The sequence below is a fragment of the Homo sapiens genome, chromosome 6 (genome assembly GCF_000001405.40).
Source record: "Homo sapiens chromosome 6, GRCh38.p14 Primary Assembly".
Lineage (NCBI taxonomy): Eukaryota > Metazoa > Chordata > Mammalia > Primates > Hominidae > Homo > Homo sapiens.
Genome location: NC_000006.12, coordinates 87,343,921 through 87,367,118, shown reverse-complemented (window position 1 = coordinate 87,367,118; position 23,198 = coordinate 87,343,921). Strand labels below are relative to the sequence as shown.

The following is a 23,198-nucleotide window of genomic DNA, read 5'->3' as shown; positions in this document are numbered from 1 at the left end:
ATGTTTGCTGGAAGGATTAGGGTTCTGAAACCACTTTTGCAAAACTTATGACAGTGAGAGAAATCTAACATAGCAGACTCCATCTTGCTTCTAACCTCACAAGCTTATTGCCCTTGCTCATTCCTGAGTGCAGGCCAAGCTAACCATGGGAGGAATTTATTGTTTAACATTAAAGCGAAGAAGATAACAGCCCCTTCCCAAAACTACCCTCCTCCTAGTTCAGGGACTAAAACCACCTTTGTAAAATGAATGAAAGGCCAAAAGGTTAGAATTATGGGAGGAGCTTGAATTCTGCTAAGACCTATGCATAGTTCAGTGATAACCAGCCATGTTCCCTAGCTTGCTTACTACTCAGGAGTCATGTCGCCAGAGGTCACAAGAGTTGTAACTTTCCCAATTGTTCCTACAGATAACATCACTATTGTAAAACCTAAGATTGTTCTTTGAGATATTTTTCAGATGTTTGCATCCTGATGAACTGACACCACTTGGACCCATGACTCATACCAAGGAAATAAATCAACTGGTCCTGTAACTCCCACCCAGAAGCTGACTCGGCATGCGAAGACAGTTCCAACACTCCTGTGATTTCATCTCCAACCAATCAGTAGCACCCATTCCCCAGCCCCCTGCCTGTCAAATTATCCTTTAAAAACCCTACCCTCTGAGTTCTCAGAGAGGTGGATTTGAGAAATATCTCCCATCTTTTTTTCTTTTACAACTGGCAAATATAGATGAGTCTGTAGCCATACCAGACCCATGTGGCCCAACTTTCACGTAACAAAGTAGTACAGTGTTTTTCAGTTGCCATGGACCCTCAGGTCATGTAATCTGAGCATGCCCAGATGGACCAAGTGTTCAACCACAGAGGGAACCTGATTGCTCTGACTCAGGAGTGGGAACTGAATTAAGAAGTGGACACTGCATGGCAGGATCCAGAATCCAACTGGATTGAGCTTTGGCATCACCCCATGGCAGGATCCAGTTAGATCATGCCTCCTGACATCCCCTCATTGCAAGACCCAGTCAGATCATGCCTCATTACCCTATGTTTATAAAACCTGACCCAGCCCCCAGCTCAGGCAGACACTGCTTTGGGGACTATCCCTGGTGTTCTCCTTACTCCTTATAAGTAATAAAATCCCCTTGCTAAATCTTCTTTGGTTGTGGTCATTGAGTTGACACCCACCAAGTGACTGAACCTGCTTGTTGTGTGGGTAGCAAGTCCTTCCTGAATTACTTTATATGGGAGTCCCAGAATTTAAATTTTATCCTACTGAATTTGAGAGAAATTGCTTTTTTAAATTCACAATGCTACTGCATTCACCAAATGATAAACTGTCTACTGGAACTTAGCACACCTGCCCAAAACAGGAACAACCTAAGAACACTTTCCTTTACTTGTTTTCTATGGCAATAAATGCTGAAATAATTAATTATATGTCTGATGTAGAAATGAATAAAGACAGATACAGAAGTGTGTTTAGGCTTCATCCAAGAAACCTTTCCCCTCTTAATCAGTTTGCTACCTCTCACTATTTTTTCTTCTCAGACTTGGCTCAATATAATCTGGAATGTGCTTTTTAATATTTTGGTTTTCCATGAAAATTCTTATAGCCCAATAGTACCCTGCACAAGGCTGGGGAATCAATACATGGTTTTTGAGTAAATTTATTTAGTCTGGAATGATGTCTTTTGTAGTGGAATTTCAACTGAAGACTTCTAATCAAGAGTTGTTTTGTTCTCCTTAATAACAAGATTAGAAGGTGTTTTCTTTCTTTCTGGCAGAATAAAATCTGCATGTCCTGGTGAAAGCTTAGGAAAGGTATAATTGATGTATTTTTGAAATGCCATCCTGGTTTCCTGTAATTCCTCCTCTAGGAAATCTTTCCAATTTGTCATGATTCCCAGTTGTTTTGCTATAGACAGCAGCTCCCCCTGGGTGTTAGCCAGTTTATCCATCATATTGCCAAGAGTGGCCTGATGTGTTTTCTCTGCTTCTTGAAGCACTTCCTGTACCTCTTCTTGCCTCTGCCTCTGAGCTATGCCATAGAGGATGCTCATTTCATGTTCTTTTTCCCTCATCAGTCGGGCCACACTGGTCTTCTCATCCTTAATAACTGTGACACCAGTATTCACAATTTCCTCCACGGCTTTGCTACAAAAGATAATATGGATTTATAATTTAGATGGATTGGCCACTAAAAACAAAATAATTTCATCTTTAAACGCAGATGAATGAGCAATTGTTGAGATGAGCCACCAGCCTGAGACAGGCTGATACGGATGAGCTTTTGGATTGCATTAGCTGTTATCAAACAAAACACATTTTCAGAGCAGGGAGGCTTCCTATGTACTTCCCTGCTGTGGGCTAGGGTGAGGCCACTAGTCTAACTTCTAACGGCAACTTTAGGAACCTGAGATCACCTTTTTCAGGAAAATATACATGCATTGTGCTTAAAAATGAGGAGATAAGGGTCAGAGTTCCAAACTCTGTAGAGAAAGTATTTCTTTATATTAATCCAGCTGCTGACCTTTAGCCAGAGATGAAAAATCCTTATACTCACAGGATAGATTTAGCTTTAATCTTGATTTTATCTGAGCAATACTCTATGACAGTCACCTCAAGCTTTTTGGTCTCGGGAGCTCTTTACAGTCTCAAAATTATCGAGGAAGCCAAAGAGCTTTTGTTTATATGAGTTATAGGCATTGACATTAACAGTTATATAAACTAAAAGGGAGACATTTTTAAAATATTAAAAATCTCTTATGAAAAACATTTTCCCAAACAATGAAATATTTCATGAGAAGAATGGTATAATTTAACTTTTTTTTTGAGACAGTGTCTTGCCGTCACCCAGGCTAGAGTGCAATGGCCTGGCCCTGGCTTACTGCAACCTCCAGCTCCCAGGTTCAAGTGATTCACATGCCTCAGCCTCCAGAGTAGCTGGGATTACAGGTGTGCACGACTACACCCAGCTAATTTTTGTATTTTTTAGTAGAGATGGGATTTTACCATGTTGGCCAAGCTGATCTCAAACTCCTGACCTCAAGTGATCCACCCGCCCTGGCCTCCCAAAGTGCTGGGATTACAGGTATAAGCCACTGTACCCAGCCTAATTTTTTTTTTGCACAACTCTTTAATCTCTGGCTTATTAGCAAAAAGCTGAATTTTCATACTGTTTCAATTTATTGTGATATCACACATCACAAAACCCCTGGAGAACACCATTTTATATTCATAGGAGACTAAGAGTGAAAAAGGCAAATAAAGTCTTAGTGTTATGCTGCTATAAAGACACATGCACACGTATGTTTATTGCGGCACTATTCACAATAGCAAAGACTTGGAACCAACCCAAATGTCCAACAATGATAGACTGGATTAAGAAAATGTGGCACATATACACCATGGAATACTATGCAGCCATAAAAAATGATGAGTTCATGTCCTTTGTAGGGACATGGATGAAATTGCAAATCATCATTCTCAGTAAACTATTGCAAGAACAAAAAACCAAACACTGCATATTCTCACTCATAGGTAGGAACTGAACAATGAGAACACATGGACACAGGAAGGGGAACATCACACTCTGGGGACTGTTGTGGGGTGGGGGGAGCGGGGAGGGATAGCTTTAGGAGATATACCTAATGCTAAATGACGAGTTAATGGGTGCAGCACACCAGCATGGCACATGTATACATATGTAACAAACCTGCACATTGTGCACATGTACCCTAAAACTTTAAGTATAATAATAATTTTTTAAAAAATTTGGAAAAAAAAAAAGAAAATAGTTTTAATGTCATGGACTGCCTCTTTAAAGAGTCTCAGGGACCTTGAAGGGTCTCTGGACCACATATTCAGAAGCACTGCTAAATGATTAATATACTTCTGGCTATAATGTAGGGTATTATATAAAATTCATAGCAGCCAACCATGTTGACCTCTTACCATGTCCAAGCAGGTTAATGAGCATTCTATGCATACATTAATTCAATGAATCCTCAAAAACAATTCTGTAGTGTGGTTCCATTACTGTGCTCTTTTTATGAAGAAGACATTGAGCTCAGGGAGGTTAAGTAATTGGACTAAGTTTGTTTAATAAGTTAAAGAGGCAAAATCTGCAACACAACTCAGGCAGTCTGAGACCAGGGCAAAAGCTCTTAGCCACTGTGATACATTTCCAGTGGATTTCTGCAGTTAACATAGTTTGAGCAGAACCTCAAAGATTTGAGGTTTTAAGATCTCAAATGTATGGCTGTTAATAAAAATCCTCCCCCTCTGCCTCCCAGTCTAATACAGGCTTTCCAAGATTTACCACTGGCCCTATCTCCTAAATTCCATCCTCCAAGATGCAATTCTCTCATCTTCTCTGAGTCTTTCCACTTGACTTTCAAACCTGACAGACTTCCCTAGTCTTGAAGTAAATCACATCTTTCTTTAGCCTCCGTAGCCACTATACTATTTCTCTTCTTCCTTTTCCCACCAACTAAGCTATTTCCAATATTAATAACAGGGGTAATGATTATTGAGTACTTACTGTATTGCAGGAACTGTGGTGAGCATTTTACATGCACGATATCTCATTTAATTTTCACAATAACCCATTGAAGCTGATACTTTATTTACTTATTTACAGATGAATCTTGCTCTGTTGTCCAGGCTGGAGTGCAGTGGCACCATCTTGGCTCACTGCAACCTCCGCCTCCCAGGTTCAAGTGATCCTTCTACCTCAGCCTCCCAAGTATCTGGGATTACAAGTGTGCACCCCCACACATGGCTAATTTTTGTATTTTTAGTAGAGGCAGGGTTTCACTATGTTGGCCAGGCTGGTCTTGAACTCCTAACGTTAAGTGATCCACCCGCCTTGGTCTCCCAAATTGCTGGGATTACAGGTGTGAGCCACCGTGCCTGACCTATTTTTACTTATAACCTGTGACTATTCCCTTGTAACAGGTGAGAAATGGAGGCTTAGAGAAGAGTGAGTTGTTGTTCAATGTCACACAACTGAGCACGCTGGGGAGTTCCTGCCCTTAATCATTACCTGCTTCAAGCTCATGAGTGGGCACTATACATTTTTCGTCAGGAGGGTAGCACAGTAAAAATAACATTTTAGACTTGTTATTCAGGTAACAGTGAGTGAACTGAATCTTAGTGGGGTGAGCTAGAGAGACCAATTGTATCATTTCATAATATCCTTGAGGTGCAATGATGAGGGTCTGAACTAATGACAAAAGAGAGGGTTGGGAAGAGGGAGAGAATGGGTTAAGCCTAGGAAATATTAAAAAGTCATAGCTGCCAGAATCTGTGACTGCAAGCATATGGGAGAAGTGGGAAAAAGAGGAATCAAAACCAACTTGCTGATTTTCAACCCGGGTCACAGGAGAATGGAGGTTCCATTAATAGAAGTGATGCTGTGTATAGAGTGGGCAGTGTGCATCGACACACATTCTAAGGATTTAGTCTGATGTCTGATAACATCCTCAGGCTGTTGATGAGATTGTCAGGGTGATGACCAGGGACCAATCTCCAAGGAGGAAGCTGTGCTCCCTGTGTCCTCTGACATAAGCAGGCATGAGTTTCCTGCCAGGTGGGGCTGACTTTCCTCTCACCCAAATGGGAGGTTTCATTTATGGGCTAACTGGAAGGCTCTACCAGAATTGAGTCAGGCAAAAGTGATCCAATAATGTATATCTTGGATGACGCCAGCTCCCACCCTCAATGACAGTCCCTTTCAGACTCCCTGATATCAAAATCTCTTACTGCTAACAGAATCTGGTACTTTAAAAAATCTTTCCAACTTTTCTTTCTTCTTTTTTTTTTGGTTTTAAACAGGGTCCCACTCTGTTGCCCAGGCTGGAGTGCAGCAGCACCATCTTGGCTCATGCAAACTCTGCCTCCTGGGCTCAAGCAATCCTCCCACCTCAGCCTCCGGAATAGCTGAGACTACAGGCATGTGCGACCATGCCCAGCTAATTTTTGTATTTTTTGTAGAGACAGGGTTTTGCCATGTTGGCCAGGCTGGACTCAAGTGATCCTCCTACCTCAGCCTCCCAAAGTGCTGGGATTACAAGCATGAGCCACTGCGCCTAGCCCCACTTTTCCCAGCCTGCCTTAGTGCTTGAATATTTGATCCTTTCATTCTGATGAGTTCCCTGAAGTTGTGGAATTGAAGCCAGGAGTGGGGTGGGGTGCAGTGCGTCGAGGGTGTGACCTGCAATGACCATTTATCTTTGTATCTCCCCTGCCTAGTGTGGTGCCCGTTGTGTATACAACAGGCAATCAATAAATGTATGAATGAATAAGTGGGTAATACAGACGAAACTCTCTCTAATACATGTTGTGCTGAATAACACTACAAGTTTAAAGCAGCTATATTGGAACATTACAAAAGCTTAAAAGAATTAATGAGGCTGGGCATGGTGGCTCACGCCTGTAATCCCAGCACTTTGGGAGGCAGAAGCAAGTGGATCACTTGAAGTCAGGAGTTCAAGACCAGCTTGGCCAACATGGAGAAGCCCCATCTCTACTAAAAATACAAAAATTAGCTGGGCATGGTGGTGAGTGAGTACCTGCAATCCCAGCTACCTGGGAGGCTGAGGCAGGAAAATTGCTTGAACCTGGAAGGTGGAGGCTGCAGTGAGCAGAAATCGCATCACTGCACTCCAGCCTAGGCAACAAAGCAAGACTCTCTCAAAAAAAAAAAAAAAAAATTCATGCTTAAAAAGGATTCTTAACATAAGCGAAATATTTGCCATAGGAAAATAGCCAATTCTTGGGATATGTGTAAAATGTTTTTCAATGTACATAAATTAGTCTACCTGTATTTTTTTTATCGAAAGAGGGCCTAGAAAGCTTATCATATGAGAAAGAACTGTGAAAGAACTAGGTATTAGTACTTTTTGGTTTTTCCTTCCCTTCTTCAAATTAAATCTTGGACATAATCTCTCTCCTCAAACATTTGAAGGATCACCACGCACAGAGGAGGAGCAGGGCCAGAAGCCAAGGGTAAAGGTAAGGCCCAGAGTTTTTGGATCCACATTAGGAAGAACATGACAAGTAGAGGTTGTTCAGCATTTGGACCAACCACCTCAACCAGTGACATCAAGGAGGCTCACCGATGACTGGCTGGCATCTGGCAGAAGGAATGGCACGTCCAGCTCCATAACCCCCAATGCCCATTCTGATGTGAAGTGAATGTCTATGCTTTCTGTGAGCAGTGAGGTTCTTCTGGCATCTCTATCTTTATGAGGCTGTACACTTGTAATTTTGAAATACACACCGTATTTCAGGGTGGCACTGGCCAGAAAAGTAACTATTTTCAAAATAGTTGTAGTGTGTGTCCAAATTTATAGGATTCAGTCTGATATTTTATAAAACAGACTCTTGGAGAATGAAAACAACTTACTAAATAAAAACATAATCTGATATCTAACAACTCAATCTTAACTAATAGGGAAAAAATAAACTACGGAAAGTCCATAGTAGCAATTGATCCTTTGCCTGGTTAGTCTGTAAATAAGCTATTAATCTACTTTTCATTAGAACTATAGGACTGTTAGTACTATTTCAATCAGGTACAACCACTGTGTTTACCAGTAACCTATGTTCTGATTTTCCACCTGGGACATGGGGAACCCCTGGCTCTCTGGTCTGGCAGGAGACTGCAGGCATTTCAGAAGTTACGCAGGTGAGGGACATCTCCAGATGCCAGCATTCAGCAGTGCATTTCTATCCCCGGGTTGTTAACACTCTTGAACCTCCCCTTGGCTCTGCCTCATTATACATCATACTTTCTCCTTCCATGGCTTTGCGCATTCGGTTCTCATTCGTTTGCCTCTCTCACAAGTGGGACCTCTTACCTTGTCTCTAAGGCCCAACCCACGACTAACTTCCTCCAAAAAACCTACCTCACTACATACCCCACCCATACTGCTTGATCTTTCCAGGACTTTGAACTCTTGCAGCACCTATGTGCTATTTGTACCAGTCCATCCAGCCTTGCTTGTTGGGGGCAGCCATGCTCTAGTGATTTTACACAATGTTGAGGAAGGGCTCTTAATTTGTGCCACATCCACAGAAGGTACTTGATGAGCTCTGGTGAAGTGAACAAACCCTCTAGAAAACTCACATAGCTTCTCTACCTGTAAAGCAGGTAGCATAATGGAAGGTCATAAGCTTTGGCATCATAAAGGCCAGGGTTCAAATCAGGCCCTGTCACCTCTTTCCTCTGTGACCTTTGGCAGTTTGCTTAGTTTCCCTTTAAGGCCTTAACCCTCCAGGGTCTTTGCCTGAAGATATGTAGGATGATACAATCTCCTAGGAAGGGACACCCAGATGCAGGGAGTATACAAAAGGCCTTGCATGTGCTGGGAATTGAATAAGGGAAGCTGTCAGTAGGAATTACAGCCATGACCACAAAAAATCCTGAGTGGTCACTTCATTCATGCCTTGCCTTGGGCTAGAAAACAATTAGAACCTTTACAAACAGATTTTTTTTTTTTTTGAGACAAGTCTCGCTCTGTCGCCCAGGCTGGAGTGCAGTGGCGTGATCTCGGCTCACTGCAAGCTCCGCCTCCCAGGTTCACGCCATTCTTCTGCCTCAGTCTCCCGAGTAGCTGAGACTGCAGGCGCCCGCCACCATGCCTGGCTAATTTTTTGTATTTTTAGTAGAGACGGGGTTTCACCTTGTTAGACAGGATGGTCTCGATCTCCTGACCTCGTGATCCGCCTGCCTTAGCCTCCCAAAATGCTGGGATTACAGGCGTGAACCACCGCCCCTGGACTTTTTTTTTTTTAACTTTAAGAGAAAGAGTCCAGTGTCTCCTGGGCAATCTGTTTAGAATCTAATCACCTCAATCCACAAAACGGTTTTCTGTATAGTTAACAAATTTCTCATGATATATAAATGTTCTGAATCCTTAAGTCTTGATGAAAGTTTATAGTAAAATAAAAAATCTGCATAGAATTCTCAACAGTGGTCTCTCTCCATATATTAGTTTCTGCAAATTCTCTAAAGAACAGAGGAATCTAGTACTTTCTAGAAATAAGATCTGGTGTGCTGAAGAGTGGCTTCGACTAATTGGAAGAAATTTAAACCATTTGTTCAATAAATATTTCAAGAATGCCTACCATGTGCCAGACTTTCTTCCAGGCACTTGGGAAACATCAATAAACAAAATGGGCATTCTAGCTGGATATATTTTAACAGTACACATGGCAGTTCCTTAATCCTAGTCTACAGATTCAATAAAAGGCAGACATTGAAAACCTTCCATCAAACCTCACAGAGGAAAGGGCTGGAGGGGGCGCAAAAACAATCTAGCAAGAGAGGGAGGAGACCGCAAGTGTGTGTGAGGAGGGGACCCAGAGGCTCCCACAGGTGAGACAGAGCTCCTGCAGATGGCTGGCAGGAGAGAAAAGAAAAGAGGATCCACCTTCCAGTGCATTGGGCCATGACTCATTCCCTAACCCCCTCCTGGTATCCCCTCTCATCTTCCTCTTCTACCTCCACAATGACCTGCAGTCTATGCAGGAAGAGAGGTACCAGTTAAACTGTCACAGCTGCAGCTCTCATTCTCATTTATCTGTACCTCCTCCAGGATCTTACCTGTGTCCCTGTTCTAAAGAGTTCTAATGAAAAAGATTTTACCCATTAATTATATAGAAATGTATCTGTTTGTTAACTCAAGCAGCAAAGCAAAAGGGACCAGTCACAGACTAGGAGGCCAAATAGGGAGGTCTCAGTCTCAGCTCTGCTGCTACAAATCAGTGATCATGGGCAGGTAAATGACCTGGTAAAAAAATCTGGAAATTATGGTTTTTCTCTTGCACCTGACAATCCCTGAGCTCCTAACTGCTGTCCTGTTCCAGCAAAGAATCATTACATATATAGAAATAGTTACCGTGGTTTTCTTAAAATATATATATGTATGATCTGATCTGTGATTATGCACATACATATGGCTGTAAACACATCAAAAGGGCATGGAAGGATATAGACTCTATTGTTTAAAATAACTGTCTCTGGGAGGCAGGGAGGGTGTAGGGGAAGCAATGCATCAGGACTTGCAATTTTTGCTCTATATATTTCCATAATGTCAACTTCTTTTGCAACATATATTACTTGCATAATAAGAAAAAGACCAAAAAGTAACACAAACACAATAGTGTATGATCTAGGCTAGAGAATGTGAAGATTGATTTTAATGATGTGTTTATGGGAAACTGTTTCTTGATTCCTGTCCTTGGCTTCTTAAAACTGGTGATACAGAATGAAAAATACCATATTTAGAGAGTAGCTATCTTTCAAGCAGGGACAAGAAGAAGATATGATTGAGGAAGAACACACGAGAGCTTTAGAAAACAGCAATTTTCAATCCCTTAAGCTGGGTGGTAGGTTTTTGAGTATTTATGTTATTATTTTTCTTTAAACCACACACATACTCTACAATATAAATTGTTCCCTATGTTTGGTATTTTCCATAATAAAAATGTAAAAACACAAAAACTGGGCAATATCTACCTATGTACTGTAACCTTATCTGTTTCTCCAGGTTGATTTTGATAAAGGAAGTTACTAATTTGTAAATGAGTTCTCTGGAATACCTTTTCTGGGCCTGGATTGCTTCCTGGGCGATGTGTCTTTCTTCAGCCCTGGCTTTCTCCACAGCTTCGACCTTCTCTCTGTGGCATTCCATCATAATCCTTTGGATTCTGTGGACCATGCGCTGTTCTGCAGCCAAGTGCTCTCTCTTCATTTCGTCATCCATGTTTTGATACATCTCTGTCTTAGTTTTAGCTGTCACTTCCTGAAGCAATGGCAAAACTAGGTTTAGCTATTACAGACTTAATGTTTAAAACTGCACATTAGGAGGCTATTTAAACCATAGTTTTATCTATCTGCTAGCAAGTGTACCTGTTAACACTGATGATTTAAAAGAAGAGTGTGTATGATATGGAAAACTTTTATTTATATGATGTTAGGTGAACCAAAAATGTACAAACTATGTAGCATAAATATCTACGTAGATAATATTGAAAGGGAATATGGAAAAAAGAAAATAGTTGGGTTAGAGGGGTAGGGTTAAAGGTCTTTTTTCTTGATTGTCTAAATATTCTAGTATCATATTATCATTATACATAATTACATAATGCAATTCTGCTTTAGTAAGCCAGTCCTGGAAAATGGCAGAAATAATTACTATGCCTCGTGTCTCCTGGGTAGGAGGGAACTAAGGAGAGGAACCACTAGTCAAACCAAGACCTGTGGAAAACAGAGCCACAAATTGTGCTCAAGGAAAACCCTGTCACCATTTTGGAAATCCACAGTGTGCCTGGCAGTCCGAGGCCCAGAAGCTACATATACAAGAAGGTGGGGATCTTAGTCCTCAAGGGATTCACTGTCTAGTGAAGGAGGCCAACAACGTAACTGTGCAATACAGTTACAGAAATATAACAATATGTAGAAATATAACATTATAAAGAGGAGGAGCAATTCATTCTGTCCAGGTATTTTAAAACTTTCATTTAAAGGTAATTGTTTTTTTTTGAGACAGGTTCTCATTCTGTTGCCCAGGCTGGGGGGCAATGGCACAATCACAGCTCACTTCAGCCTCCACCTCCCAGGCTCAGGCAGTCCTCCCACCTCAGCCTCCCATGTAGCTGAGACGACAGACACTTGCCACCATGCCTGGCTAATTTTTGTATTTTTTGTCAAAATAGGGTTTCACCATGTTGCCCAGGCTTGTCTTCAATTTCTGGGCTCAAGTGATCTGCCCATCTTGACCTCCCAAAGTGCTGGAATTACAGGCATGAGCCACCGTGCCCAGCCCAAAGGTAAATGTTTATCTCTATTTGGGAAGACATCAAAAGAACATAGAGAAATTAAGTTATTTCATATAGCACATCAATGGAAGAACTAGGGATAGAAGCCAGGATTGCTGACTGCCAGTTTCTCACTTCATTCCTGGCTGTGATGCTGGAGTCTTTCAAGAGATTCATCAATTGTACAGTCTTGTAAGATATAGTACACTGGGTTTTCTTTCTTTTTCAATAGCTGCAGAATCCCTTCTTTAAATGAAATCTTACCCAGAATAGAAAGGAATAAAACCAGTAAGAGTTCTCCTGGCTGAAGATTGCTCAACTCCCTTTAGCACCATTTCTATGGGAGCCCCTGAGAGAGCCAGCTCTGTTTACAGCGTCCAGAGAGAATCCTCAGCTGAAGCTGAGAGAAAGTCAAGAGAACTCTAAATTATAAGGGAAACTGAAATTGCTTCAGCTTCTTAGAAGATTATTTCAACAATTAAAATATTTGTTAAGACAAACCTTTCAGCTTTTTCATGAGAAAAAGTTCTCAACTTCTCACTTTGGCTACTTCAAGGGTGAAAAGTTAAAAAATGAAACAGACACTAGAAATCAACTTTAAGAATCTCTCCAAGTGGCCTCAGTTCATGTATTTAGAAAATCTTTTTAGGAAAACATTGGCCATTTAGAAATGCTAGCTGGGTTTCCTACACTGCAGAAGGCTTTGTCTCTTAAATCACTAAAATTTTTTTGACAAAAGAATATTTTGAATGGAAATGTTTCTAAATGTCTTTAACACCATAAAAAGAACATTTTGAAACAATCTAACACTTTCTTAATGATCCAGGCTTGGTAGACAAAGATGAATGATTGTACTGGACCAAAAACTTCATGTGGCATTTAATAATTGTTGAAGTTCATGGAGCCCCTTGTATCTGTCATAAATGACTCCAGATTACTTTGCTTTTTGAAATTTAATCTTTGCTCTTTGTAGGTATCAAATCAAATTTTTTCTTTTCTTCAAAGAACAAGAAAATTACTTGCCATCAGGCTGAGGATGCTGCTGTAGCTTCTATCAGTGAGCCCCTTTTTGTTATTTTTACTTTCCAATATTTAATCTATTTCCAAATTGAAAAATCAAGCAACCCTGCTGGGTGTGGTGGCTCATGCCTATAATCCCAGCACTTTGGGAGGTTGAGGAGGGCAGACGATTGGAGGCCAGGAGTTCGAGACCAGCCTGGCTGCCAGGCCAACATGGCAAAACCCTGTCTCTATTAAAAATACAAAATTAACTGGGTGTGGTGGTGCACACTTGTAATCCCAGCTACTTGGGAGGCTGAGGCAGGAGAATCACTTGAACTCAGGAGGCAGAGGTTGCAATGAGCCAAGATCACACCACTGCACTCCTGCGTGGGCTACAGAGAGACTCCATTTCAAAAGAAAAGAAAACAAAATAAAAATCAAGCATCTAAGTCTGTTGGGTTTAGGTTGCCAAATAAGCATAATGACATCTGAGTGGGGGTGAAGAGGTTCTGCTGTGTGTAATAAGCCTGAGTTATTCTCTTGTAGTCAGAGGCCTTTATTTAACTCCTTAGGGGGATATTTTAACTTACTTCTGGGTTTTCAAGTACATTCTCAGTAATTCAGACTGCTGGGTGGTGGTTGAGTTTAAGACAGGTGAAGTACTACCATAATATATTCCTATATGAATCAATATTTTTTTTCAGAATGAAATGTATTTAATGGAACTCTTGCAAACATCTATTGAAGAAGGAAAAAAAGCCAGTGTCAATAGGGTGGTGTAAGACCGTTGTATGCCTGAATTTTTTTGGCACAAAGTGATTGTGTTTGTTTTTTTTTTTTAATTTTCAATTTTTGTGGTGTATGAGGTATTTTGATATAGGCATACAATGTGTAATAATCACACAAGGGTAAATGGAATATCCCTCACCTCAAGAATTTATCCTTTCTTTGTGTTACAAACAATCCAATTACACTCTTTCAGTCATTTTTAAATGTACAATAAATTATTGAATCATAGAATTTAAAAATGACATTCCAGCCCTTTATTTTGGCTGGGTTGTGAAGTAGGTATTCAGATAATTAGAAATTATCTGATTCCTAATTAGTAACTAGGAATTCAGATAATTGAACTCAGTCCCTCTTTTATGTAATGATTTAATAAAACCAAAATTCATTTACTGCCTCACATAGCATGTGGAATACATATTTAAAGCTCCAAAAATTATTAAGTAACCTGCTGTTTGTCAATGTTCTTATTTAATGTAAGGAGACCTTACATTGAAATAAATTGCTTTTACTGAAATGCATCTTGAGTGAGTCACCCCACGTTTTGAGATATTGTAAGAAATAGATTCATGGACTCCATCATGTTAACTGTACAGATGTTTGACAGGCATTTTTACATAATGTCCCCCTCAGGAGATATTGCTCTGAGGTTTCATAACTAGGAATATCTGAGCCTCTCAAGTGCCTAATTTGCCTGTACCTTATGGGCATGGTGAGTCACAACATTTCTCTCTTTGCATTGGCTGCCAGAAAGCTCAAGGCCCAATCAGTGATAATTGCACAGGACATCATGGCATATATACATTTTTAAGTTTTAAATTTACCTATGACTTTACTATATTTTCTACTGTAGTTTTTCATTTATTTTTCCTTTAGCTTTCATCTTCTCATTTACTTTTTGATATTATTGTCTTTCAATAATATAAACACCTTTTCAAAAGATTACCTATCCATCAAACAAGATCTAGAAATTTTATCTAACAGCATGCATTTGAGACACACCAAACTCTTAACATCACGTAAGAGTAATACCTGGTGGTCTTGACACATCAAAATTTAATATTTGGTTCTAGAGGAACTTGGTTTTCTGCTATACATTGGTAATCTCAAACTTTAATATGTGTGAGAATCACTTGGGATGCTGATGGAGTCTGTAGGTCAGAATGAGGCCCAGGAATCTGTATGTCAGGACCCCAAGTGAATAGATTCTGATGCAAGTGGTTCACCGACAAGCCCTGAGAAGTAGTACTGATGTCTGTATCTTGGTATCCTACAGATATAACAGGTTGAAATAACCCCACACTACTCTTAGACAAATCATTCCTTCATAAGTAAAAAATATCTGAAATGGTGGTATAAATGTAAATTCTCAACCCCCGGACAAATATTTCAGGAAGGTCGATCCCCCTTTAACTATTTACCTTTAAATAGGGCTTCTTTCTACTGATGCACTAAGTACCTCAACTCCACTCAAAGGCTGCGTGGGGTACAATAACATTATTTAAAGAAAGACTAGCATGTGAACCTTGAAACAGGAATCACATCTTCCTTATGTCTTTACAACCTAATGCCAGGAAGGACATTCAAAATGTGTATCAACCAGCACAGTAGGGCCCACCTATCTGAATGGCCTCTGGCTGCAGCATTATAGCAGGGAACTAGAGCCCCTTGCCAAGCCATGAGTTATCCTTTTAAATTGCTGGATTGGGAGAGGTCCAGGAGTCTGCTGGGGAAGCAACCAGGGTGACCAAGGTGATAGAGGGCTTAGCGGGTAACTATTTATCAACTGATAGAGAAGTACTTTAATACTTTAATTGCCAGTATGGCCATACTTGTACATAGCAGCTGAAGAGCAGGCCTGCCTAAGACATGCTATAAATGCTCTTCACATTTTGAACTGAAATGGGGAATGGGCAATGGGCCACCACAGCCAACCCCTCAGACACCATACCAACCCTGGCTGAGGTAGGCCACTGGAGCGAAGCAGGGAGCATCCCACTAGCCTTCAGGACTCATGGGGAGGAGCTCCCCTTCCTGACAGCAAGTCCTCTCTGGGTAAAGACAGTTGATTTTATCTCACCCGGTACAGATCTAATATACGGTAGGTGCTCATTGTTGCAACAACGAATAAATTGGCCTGCAGTCCCTGAACTGCTCATTACTGTTCCTAAGTTAGACCAAACCTGGGTCCGGACCTCTGTCACTTTCCTCCAGCTTCTGCCCGTGTATTGTCATACCTGTACCTTATCCTGTCCTGTCCCTCCCTTGACCAAAATGTGAAAATAGTTCTGTAACATTTTCCTTTGAGCAGATTTTGTAATCGAGGTACTGAACTAACAATGAATCCTAGGGTCTCCACCTGAAAGTTTGTAAGTTACCTAGAGTCATGTACTTGAACAGGCTACAGGTTAGTAACCTTCATCTGTGACATCTGGCCCTGCATTAAATTATTGAGGGACAGCTCAGATGTCCCTCTTAGCAGTACAGTAAATGCAAAATTTAGAAAAAAGGATGCAATCAGAGAAGGAGGAGAACAGCCTGCTTCACTTGTTCAACTATTTGAGCACCTACTAAGTCAGGGAATTGTGCTGGGCACCAGGGCTAGTCCAGTGATGAGACAGACACCCCTGCTGAAAGCTGCAGTCATGTGGGGGAGTCAGACACTCAACAACTAACCACACAATCATTTATTTAATTACAATGGTGAAGACTGCTATGAAAAAGATCAGGGTGTCATGGACAGTGTGTGGGTGGCAAGGCAAGGTTGGTCAGGCAAAGCTTCCCTTGGGAAGTAAGCTATGGGGTTCTTCTTCACTTATTCATCACTGCTCTAGAGAGCTCAGCATCTCTTCTGAGAACCTCCCAGGGGATCCCAGCTAATGGCCATGAAACACCAGTCTAGATTTCCTTATTATTTTTTTCTCATTCCCTTGCCAACTTTTCTTTTTACTAATGTAATTACTTTTAAAAGACAACAAATAAGCCACTATAAAAACCTGTAAATCTTTCTGATGTTCCTCTTTCAAAATCTGAATTTCAATTTTGTGTCTGTCATTTGCTTCTTCAAGTGCTTTCTCCACTGCTTGTTTTTGACGTTCATTAGCCTTTGAAAGAAAGAGTCCATTTATCTATTAATGTATCAGAATAAGCACAAGCAAACTTGGCTTATTTAGGATGTTGGTAAATCAGGTTTTCAAGTTTACTGAAAATTAGCAACAACCATGGAGTCCCTAATTTCTTGCCCCATTCCCATCTCAAACCTCCCATAGCAAACTGTCTGCCTTAGCCAGAGATGCTCTAATGCATCCCAATCCAGAGCTAGCCTTGCTGTTTTTGGAATCGCTAAAGGCAAGGCAGCTTTACTGTATGTAGGCTGCTGGGTTGCCTTTTCTCTTTGGCACTTTATTTCTTGCTTGATTGACTCTCAAAGTAACATATGTGCATTGTGGAAAATCTGGAAAACACAGTGAAATGAAAAGACGCACAAAGCTAGAAGGAGCTGAGTAAAGAGGCAGAGTACCATCCAGGTCCCCCACATTCAGTCTTCAGAAAGAACTTTAACTCTATTTGAAAAGAATACACAGAACATTAGACCAACTTACATTCAAATTGTAGACTATTTACAAACGCATCACCTTGTATTAGGGTGTATAATTGATGGTTCACAATCAGTTTGAATTTTACCACTAATAAAAATAGATGACTACAAAGATTTTGAGATAAATCAAAATCTGGGGTATACAGAACTGGAGTATTCATAAAGAACTGGAGCATTATGTATGTTCAAAATATTTTCATAGCAAGCTTTTGCTGGCATGAATACTGAGCAATGCTAATACTATTTGCTATAATGTCTATTTTATAAAGAAACTGACAAACATTTTTCTAAGCACTGTGGTTCTGCTCTCAAGGAGCTGTAATTCTTTTACGGGAAGTTATTGATGTCATTCTATGATTGGAAGAAGTAGGGCTACAGGACTGAGGCTTTGCTTCAGTTTGATGCCTTGGATCCCACTGTGAGCCCCAATATTCAAATTGCCCTTATAGTGCTCAGCAGTCATATCGACGAGGTATCAAGGATTTGGGAGAGAGGGGAGGAAAAGGGGAGTAGGCCATAATGAAGCATTTGAGGAAACAGGAGTGTTACATGCTCCACAAATGGATGGTCTATATATTAAATGTTAGGCCATAAGAAACAACTATCAACAAGGAGTTTTCTTAGACATTTTTTTTTCTTTTTAGTTTTGGTTTCAATCAAATCAAAATAAAGGGAGCAGGAGTCCTCCCTACAGAGAGGGCAGCTGAGAAGGAAGGAAGCTCCTGATGATGCCGGCTTCTTACTAAGCACCTACTGTGTGCCAGGCATATTATTTCACTGAACCCTCCCAACTATCCCACAGAATGGGTACTATTATTACTTTTTTACAATGAAGAAACCAAGACTACAGAGGTTGTAGAACTTGCCCAATGTCCCACAGCTAGCCAGGATTCAGTCAGTTCTGACTACTACACTATACAATTGTTTCAGACAAATCCAAAATGTGAAAGAACGGTAAAGATGGACTTTAGGTTGACATGTAACTTCTTTTACCTGAGCCCATACTTCAGCTTCTGCTTTCGCAATGTGTTCTCTGAGTATATCTTCTTGAAACTGCTCTTCTTTTTTCAGAATATTTGCCCCAATATCTGTGTATTTGAAGAGCAATGGTCACAAACCTCCACCGACTGCTTCCTGGCTTTCCTTTCCACCATTATCTAGTTATTTATGAGGGCTATTTAGGAGACACGTCCTTTTAGGAGATGCCAGTATATATATTTCAAAGATACCCATTGAAAGAGTAAGATTTTCTCTGATTAGGAGGGAATTCACAGCACTGTCAGGCCTGGATAGAGTTGGTCATTCCCCTCATCACACCCAGTCCACACAGCAGACAACTGGGGAGGTGAAATAAATGCCCGAAGAAAGGGACATATTTTGTACACCCAAAGTAGAATGATGAGTGAATATTCAAGAGGTCTTAGCACATTATACAGCTCTCTCTCTCCCTGTTCCTATTTGGGTGCTAGGGCTAGCATCAGGAGAAGGGAAGTGGAATGCCTTCACATTACATGCCTTTCTTTAGCATGTGGTTCTTTGTGGGTTTAACTGCTTCAGTATGGAGTGAGCTAAGGGGTAGAAGTTTACTATTTTTCTGTCAATGATCTAATTTGATTTCCAAATAATAACATTCCCATAATAATATCCTCTCTACCCAGACAAGGTAATAAAAGTCTAGAGAGGCTAGAGGACCACGCAATATCAGACAGCCAGGTCTTTTTCCACTGGGATTTCTCTTTTTTTTTGAGAGGGAGTCTTGCTTTGTAGCCCAGCCTGCAGTGCAGTGTCGCCATTTCGGCTCACTGCAACCTCCGCCTCCCGTTTCAAGTGATTCTCCTGCCTCAGCCTCCCGAGTAGCTGGAATTACAGGCGCCCACCACCATGCCTGACTAATTTTTGTATTTTTAGTAGAAACGGGCTTTCACCATGTTGGTCAGGCTGGTCTCGAACTCTTGACCTCAAGTGATCTGCCCACTTCGGCCTCCCAAAGTGCTAGGATTACAGGCGTGAGCCACCATGCCTGGTCTTCCTCTGGGATTTCTAAGCTGAAGGTAATAGATTCTTAGAGCTATCTGGATCCACATTCCTCCTTTCCCAGCTGCCGGAGTAAGTCTAGCTGCAGCAGTAAACCATTAAGCCAACTCACTAAAAGGGTAAGCATGGACAGATTGAAAGCCTTGATGCCAGATTTCCCTTGGGTTTCTCTGTTAAAAGAGTCAAGAAATTCCATTTCATGCAGTCTATTCTGAGTTATGTTTCTGTCACTAGCAATTAAAAGTATATGTTTGGCGGCACAGAGTCTCCTACTAGTTCATCAGCGAATCTTAAAAACACAGGGCAGCATATATTACGGTGGAGATGGACACATACTGCAAAAGCCCAACATTGTGTAGAAATAATTAGAAAAGATTTTCTAGGACAAAATGTGACTAAGCATGGACCATCAACGTATTGAACTTCATAAAAATGTGATACAAGTGTAGGCTATCACTATCCTCTTTTATGTTTAAATCCCATTGGTTTTATTAGTTGTTCTCAACCCTGATTGTACAACAGGATCCCTGCAAAGCTTTTTTTAAAAATGCACATACTGTAAAAGGAACAAACTATTGATAAACAACTTGGATGAATCTCAAGGGCATTGTGCTGAGTGAAGAAAGCCAATCTCAATGGGTTACATAATCTATGATTCTTTAGATAGCATTCTCAGTGATAAAATTATAGTGATAGAGAACAGATTAGTGGTTGTCAGGGGTTCAAGTTTGGGGAGAAGAGAGTGACAGCTAAGGGGTAACACGAGGGAGTTCCTTTGTGGTGATGGAACAGCTCCATGTTGTGATTGTGGTGATGGCACATTAATATACACACATGATAAATTTCATAAAACTCTATGCCGGGGGAAAAAAGTGTACATAAGGTCTGTACCTGAGTTAATAGTATTGTTTCAATGCCAGTGTTCCAGCTTTGACAAAGTGCCAGGATTATGTAAGATATCAATGGAAGCTGGATGAAGGGTACAGGGGAACTCTGATCTATTTTGCAACTTGTGAGTCTTAAACTATCTTGAAATAAAAAAGGTTATTTAAACGTGAAGGAAAAAATACACATGCTTAGTCCTGACCGTAGAGGTCCTAATTTAGTGGCTCTGTGTTAGATTAGTATTAAATCCAGTGGGTCTGTGTTTGGATATCTGTATTAATATTTTTTTTCAAAGTTCTATATAGTGCACTGCCAGGATTGAGAACTATCGTCCTATGAAATACTCACTAGCTCTTCTACGGACATTTCAAAATGCTTATAAAGAACAGACAATTTCAACTTTCTTTCTTTTTTAACTTAAAACAGTTCAATGACAAAGGTCACTGAATAGAAAAGATTAATTTCTAACAATAGATTTAACTTATCCACTTAAGGTTTGGGTTAGATATTCCATAAGGCATAAGGAATCAATCATTAAGGTATATCTAAGAATGGAGATACACTGTCCTGGGTATGAAAAGTCACTTTAGAGATCATAATGAATCATTCATACTAAGCACTTACTAAATGCTAAGAAACAATTTTGGAATTGATGTTTTTAGAAGATGATTCCAATTTGATCTCCCCCTACATTTTAGTTTTTTTTTCCAAACACCTCTGCTCTCCAGCTTCTTATATTTTCAAATATCAGGAGTGAAATGAAATCACCCTTAGTTTACCATTTTAAAGGAAGAGAGGATCAGAGAAGTATTGTGAGAGTTCTTAGGAAAATACCTACAAGGCTCAAGGTCAGACTGAAAACTCTTACGGGGATAAAAGAGAGATGGAAACCTATAGTACAATTTGATTTGCTTATTATATATACATACGTATGTACAGTAAACGTCCTCATGTTATCTATATGTATCTACTTTTATGCTACCAGCTACTATTTAAAGGTTATATAGTTTCTTTTACCCATTTATTAGGGTACTTTAAAATTTTTTTTTTTTTTTTTTTTTTTTGAGGCAGAGTCTCGCTCTGTCACCCAGGCTAGAGTGCAGTAGCACGATCTCAGCTCACTGCAACCTCCACCTCCTGGGTTCAAGCAATTTTCTTACCTCAGCCTCCCGAGTAGCTGGGATTACAGGCGCATGCCACCATGCCTGCTTAAATTTTTTTAGTAGAGACGGGGTTTCGCCATGTTGGCCAGGCTGGTCTTGAACTCTTGGCCTCAAGTGATCTGCCCACCTCGACCACCCAAAGTGCTGGGATTACAGGTGTGAGCCACTGTGCCCATCCAATTAGGGTGTTATTTAGAGATAATATTTCCTCTCCTACACATACTGAAAGGTGCTCAAGTATGGCCAAGGGCAAAATGAACTCACATTTACTATTATGTGCCAGGATTTATAATAGATACAAATACTTCATTAAAGTCTCATAACAACCTGTAAGATAGGTATTAGTATATTTATTTCCACATAAGGAAACAGATTGAGAGGCTAAATACCCTGCCCAATACATACAACTGTAAGTGGAGAAGCTGTATTCCAACCCATATTCTCCTCAAATATCCCTGTAGGGACAAGCAACTCTGAAGAGAAAAAAGCTGATAAAAGTCTATGTAACAGAAAGAATGACACATAAGGCTATGAAGCATTAGAACAAAGGAAAACGATAAAGTCACTTACCTAGTATGTCTTTGTGAGTGTAAAAGCGTGTCTTAAGTGGCTTGTATTCATGGATCCGTTTGAAGGTTTTTCCAAAAGGGGCTGGTGGAATTATTTTATTACAAACAGCACAGCAAACAAAGTTTTTGTAATCTGAATTTCTGATCATAGTTAAATTTCAGATGTCTTCTCCTACTTACAGTTAAAATAATCTTAGAATCAGAAAAAGTCGTTTCAAGAAAAGCTGAAAGTTTAAGAAAGCTGGAAGAGGTTCAGGGTTTTAGGATAATGCTAGAGGCTGGTAAGGATTAAATGGTTCAAGTGATTAGGCTGTGGTTATGTGTCTAACGTTAAAGAATGGTGCTAAAAGCCCCTGCCATAGAAGGTATGGGCACCAGATTTGGGAAGATTTAAGTAGTTGCTCCTTCCCAGACTCTAGCATTAAGTTGTTAACTTACTTGGCAACTGTTGCTAGGTAAGACAAGCTTTGCTCATAAAAGCAACTTCAAATAATGACAAAAGGGAGCATGATACAGCCATTCATTTTCCTGATACTTTCTATATTAGTTTCCTATTGCTGCTGTCTTACTCTGTTTTCTGTTGCTTATAATAGAATACCTGAAACTGGATAGCTTATAAAGAAAATGAAATTATTTCTTACAGTTTATGGAGGCTGAGAAGTCCAAGGTGGAGGAGTTGCATCAGGTAAGAATCTTCTTGGTGGTGGGAACTCACTGAAGATTCCTGAGGTGGTATAGGGTATGACATGGCCAGGGGCTGAGCTCACATGCTAGCTCAGGCCTCTCTTCCTCTTCTTATAAAACCACCAGTTCTCCTCCCATGATAATCCATCAATCCCTTAACCCATGAATGAATTCACTCACCCCTTAAAGGCCCCACTTCTCAATACTACCACGTTGGGGATTAAAGTTCAACATGAGTTTTGCAGGGGACAAATATTCAAACCATAGCACCACTGTGACAAACTACACAAACTTCATAGTTTAAATGTAACACAAATTTATCCTCTTGCATTTCTGGAGATCAGAAGTCTAAAATGAGTCTTAGGGGCTAAAATCAAGTTGTTAGAAGGGCTGGTTCCTTCTGCAGGCTTCAGAGGAGAATGTGTTTGCTTGCCTTTTCCAGCTTCTAAAGGCCATCCATATTCCTTGGGGTCATGGCCTTGCATCATATAGCCTTTTCCCCCAGTGCTTCCATAGTGACATTGTCTCTTCCTCTGATCTTCTGCCGTGCTTTAAAGACCTTGGTGATTATACCAGCCCCATCTAGATAATCCAGGATAATCTCCCCATCTCAAAATCCTAAACTTACCCATATCCGTAAAGTC

General features: G+C 40.4%; 1 protein-coding gene across 1 annotated transcript; it reads right to left on the bottom strand.

Moving 5' to 3' along the window:
• Positions 1-1,655: 1,655 nt before the first annotated feature.
• Positions 1,656-22,306, bottom strand: C6orf163 (chromosome 6 open reading frame 163). The gene is made up of 5 exons (NM_001010868.3): positions 21,872-22,306; positions 18,213-18,307; positions 16,618-16,725; positions 10,616-10,818; positions 1,656-2,158 (listed from the first exon to the last, which is right to left on the bottom strand). Exons 1-5 carry the CDS (start codon positions 22,017-22,019, stop codon positions 1,723-1,725), a joined length of 990 nt encoding a protein of 329 aa, NP_001010868.2. The 5' UTR covers positions 22,020-22,306; the 3' UTR covers positions 1,656-1,722.
• Between the last annotated feature and the right edge of the window lie 892 nt (positions 22,307-23,198).

Excerpts from the sequence above, each read along its gene's own strand:
- C6orf163 (NM_001010868.3), bottom strand. The coding sequence starts at position 22,019 with ATGATCAGAAATTCAGATTACAAAAACTTTGTTTGCTGTGCTGTTTGT. Across the intron at positions 18,308-21,871 it reads CACTCACAAAGACATACTAG|ATATTGGGGCAAATATTCTG; the intron begins GTAAGTGACTTT and ends TCAAATACACAG. Across the intron at positions 2,159-10,615 it reads GCAATCCAGGCCCAGAAAAG|CAAAGCCGTGGAGGAAATTG; the intron begins GTATTCCAGAGA and ends TATCTTTTGTAG.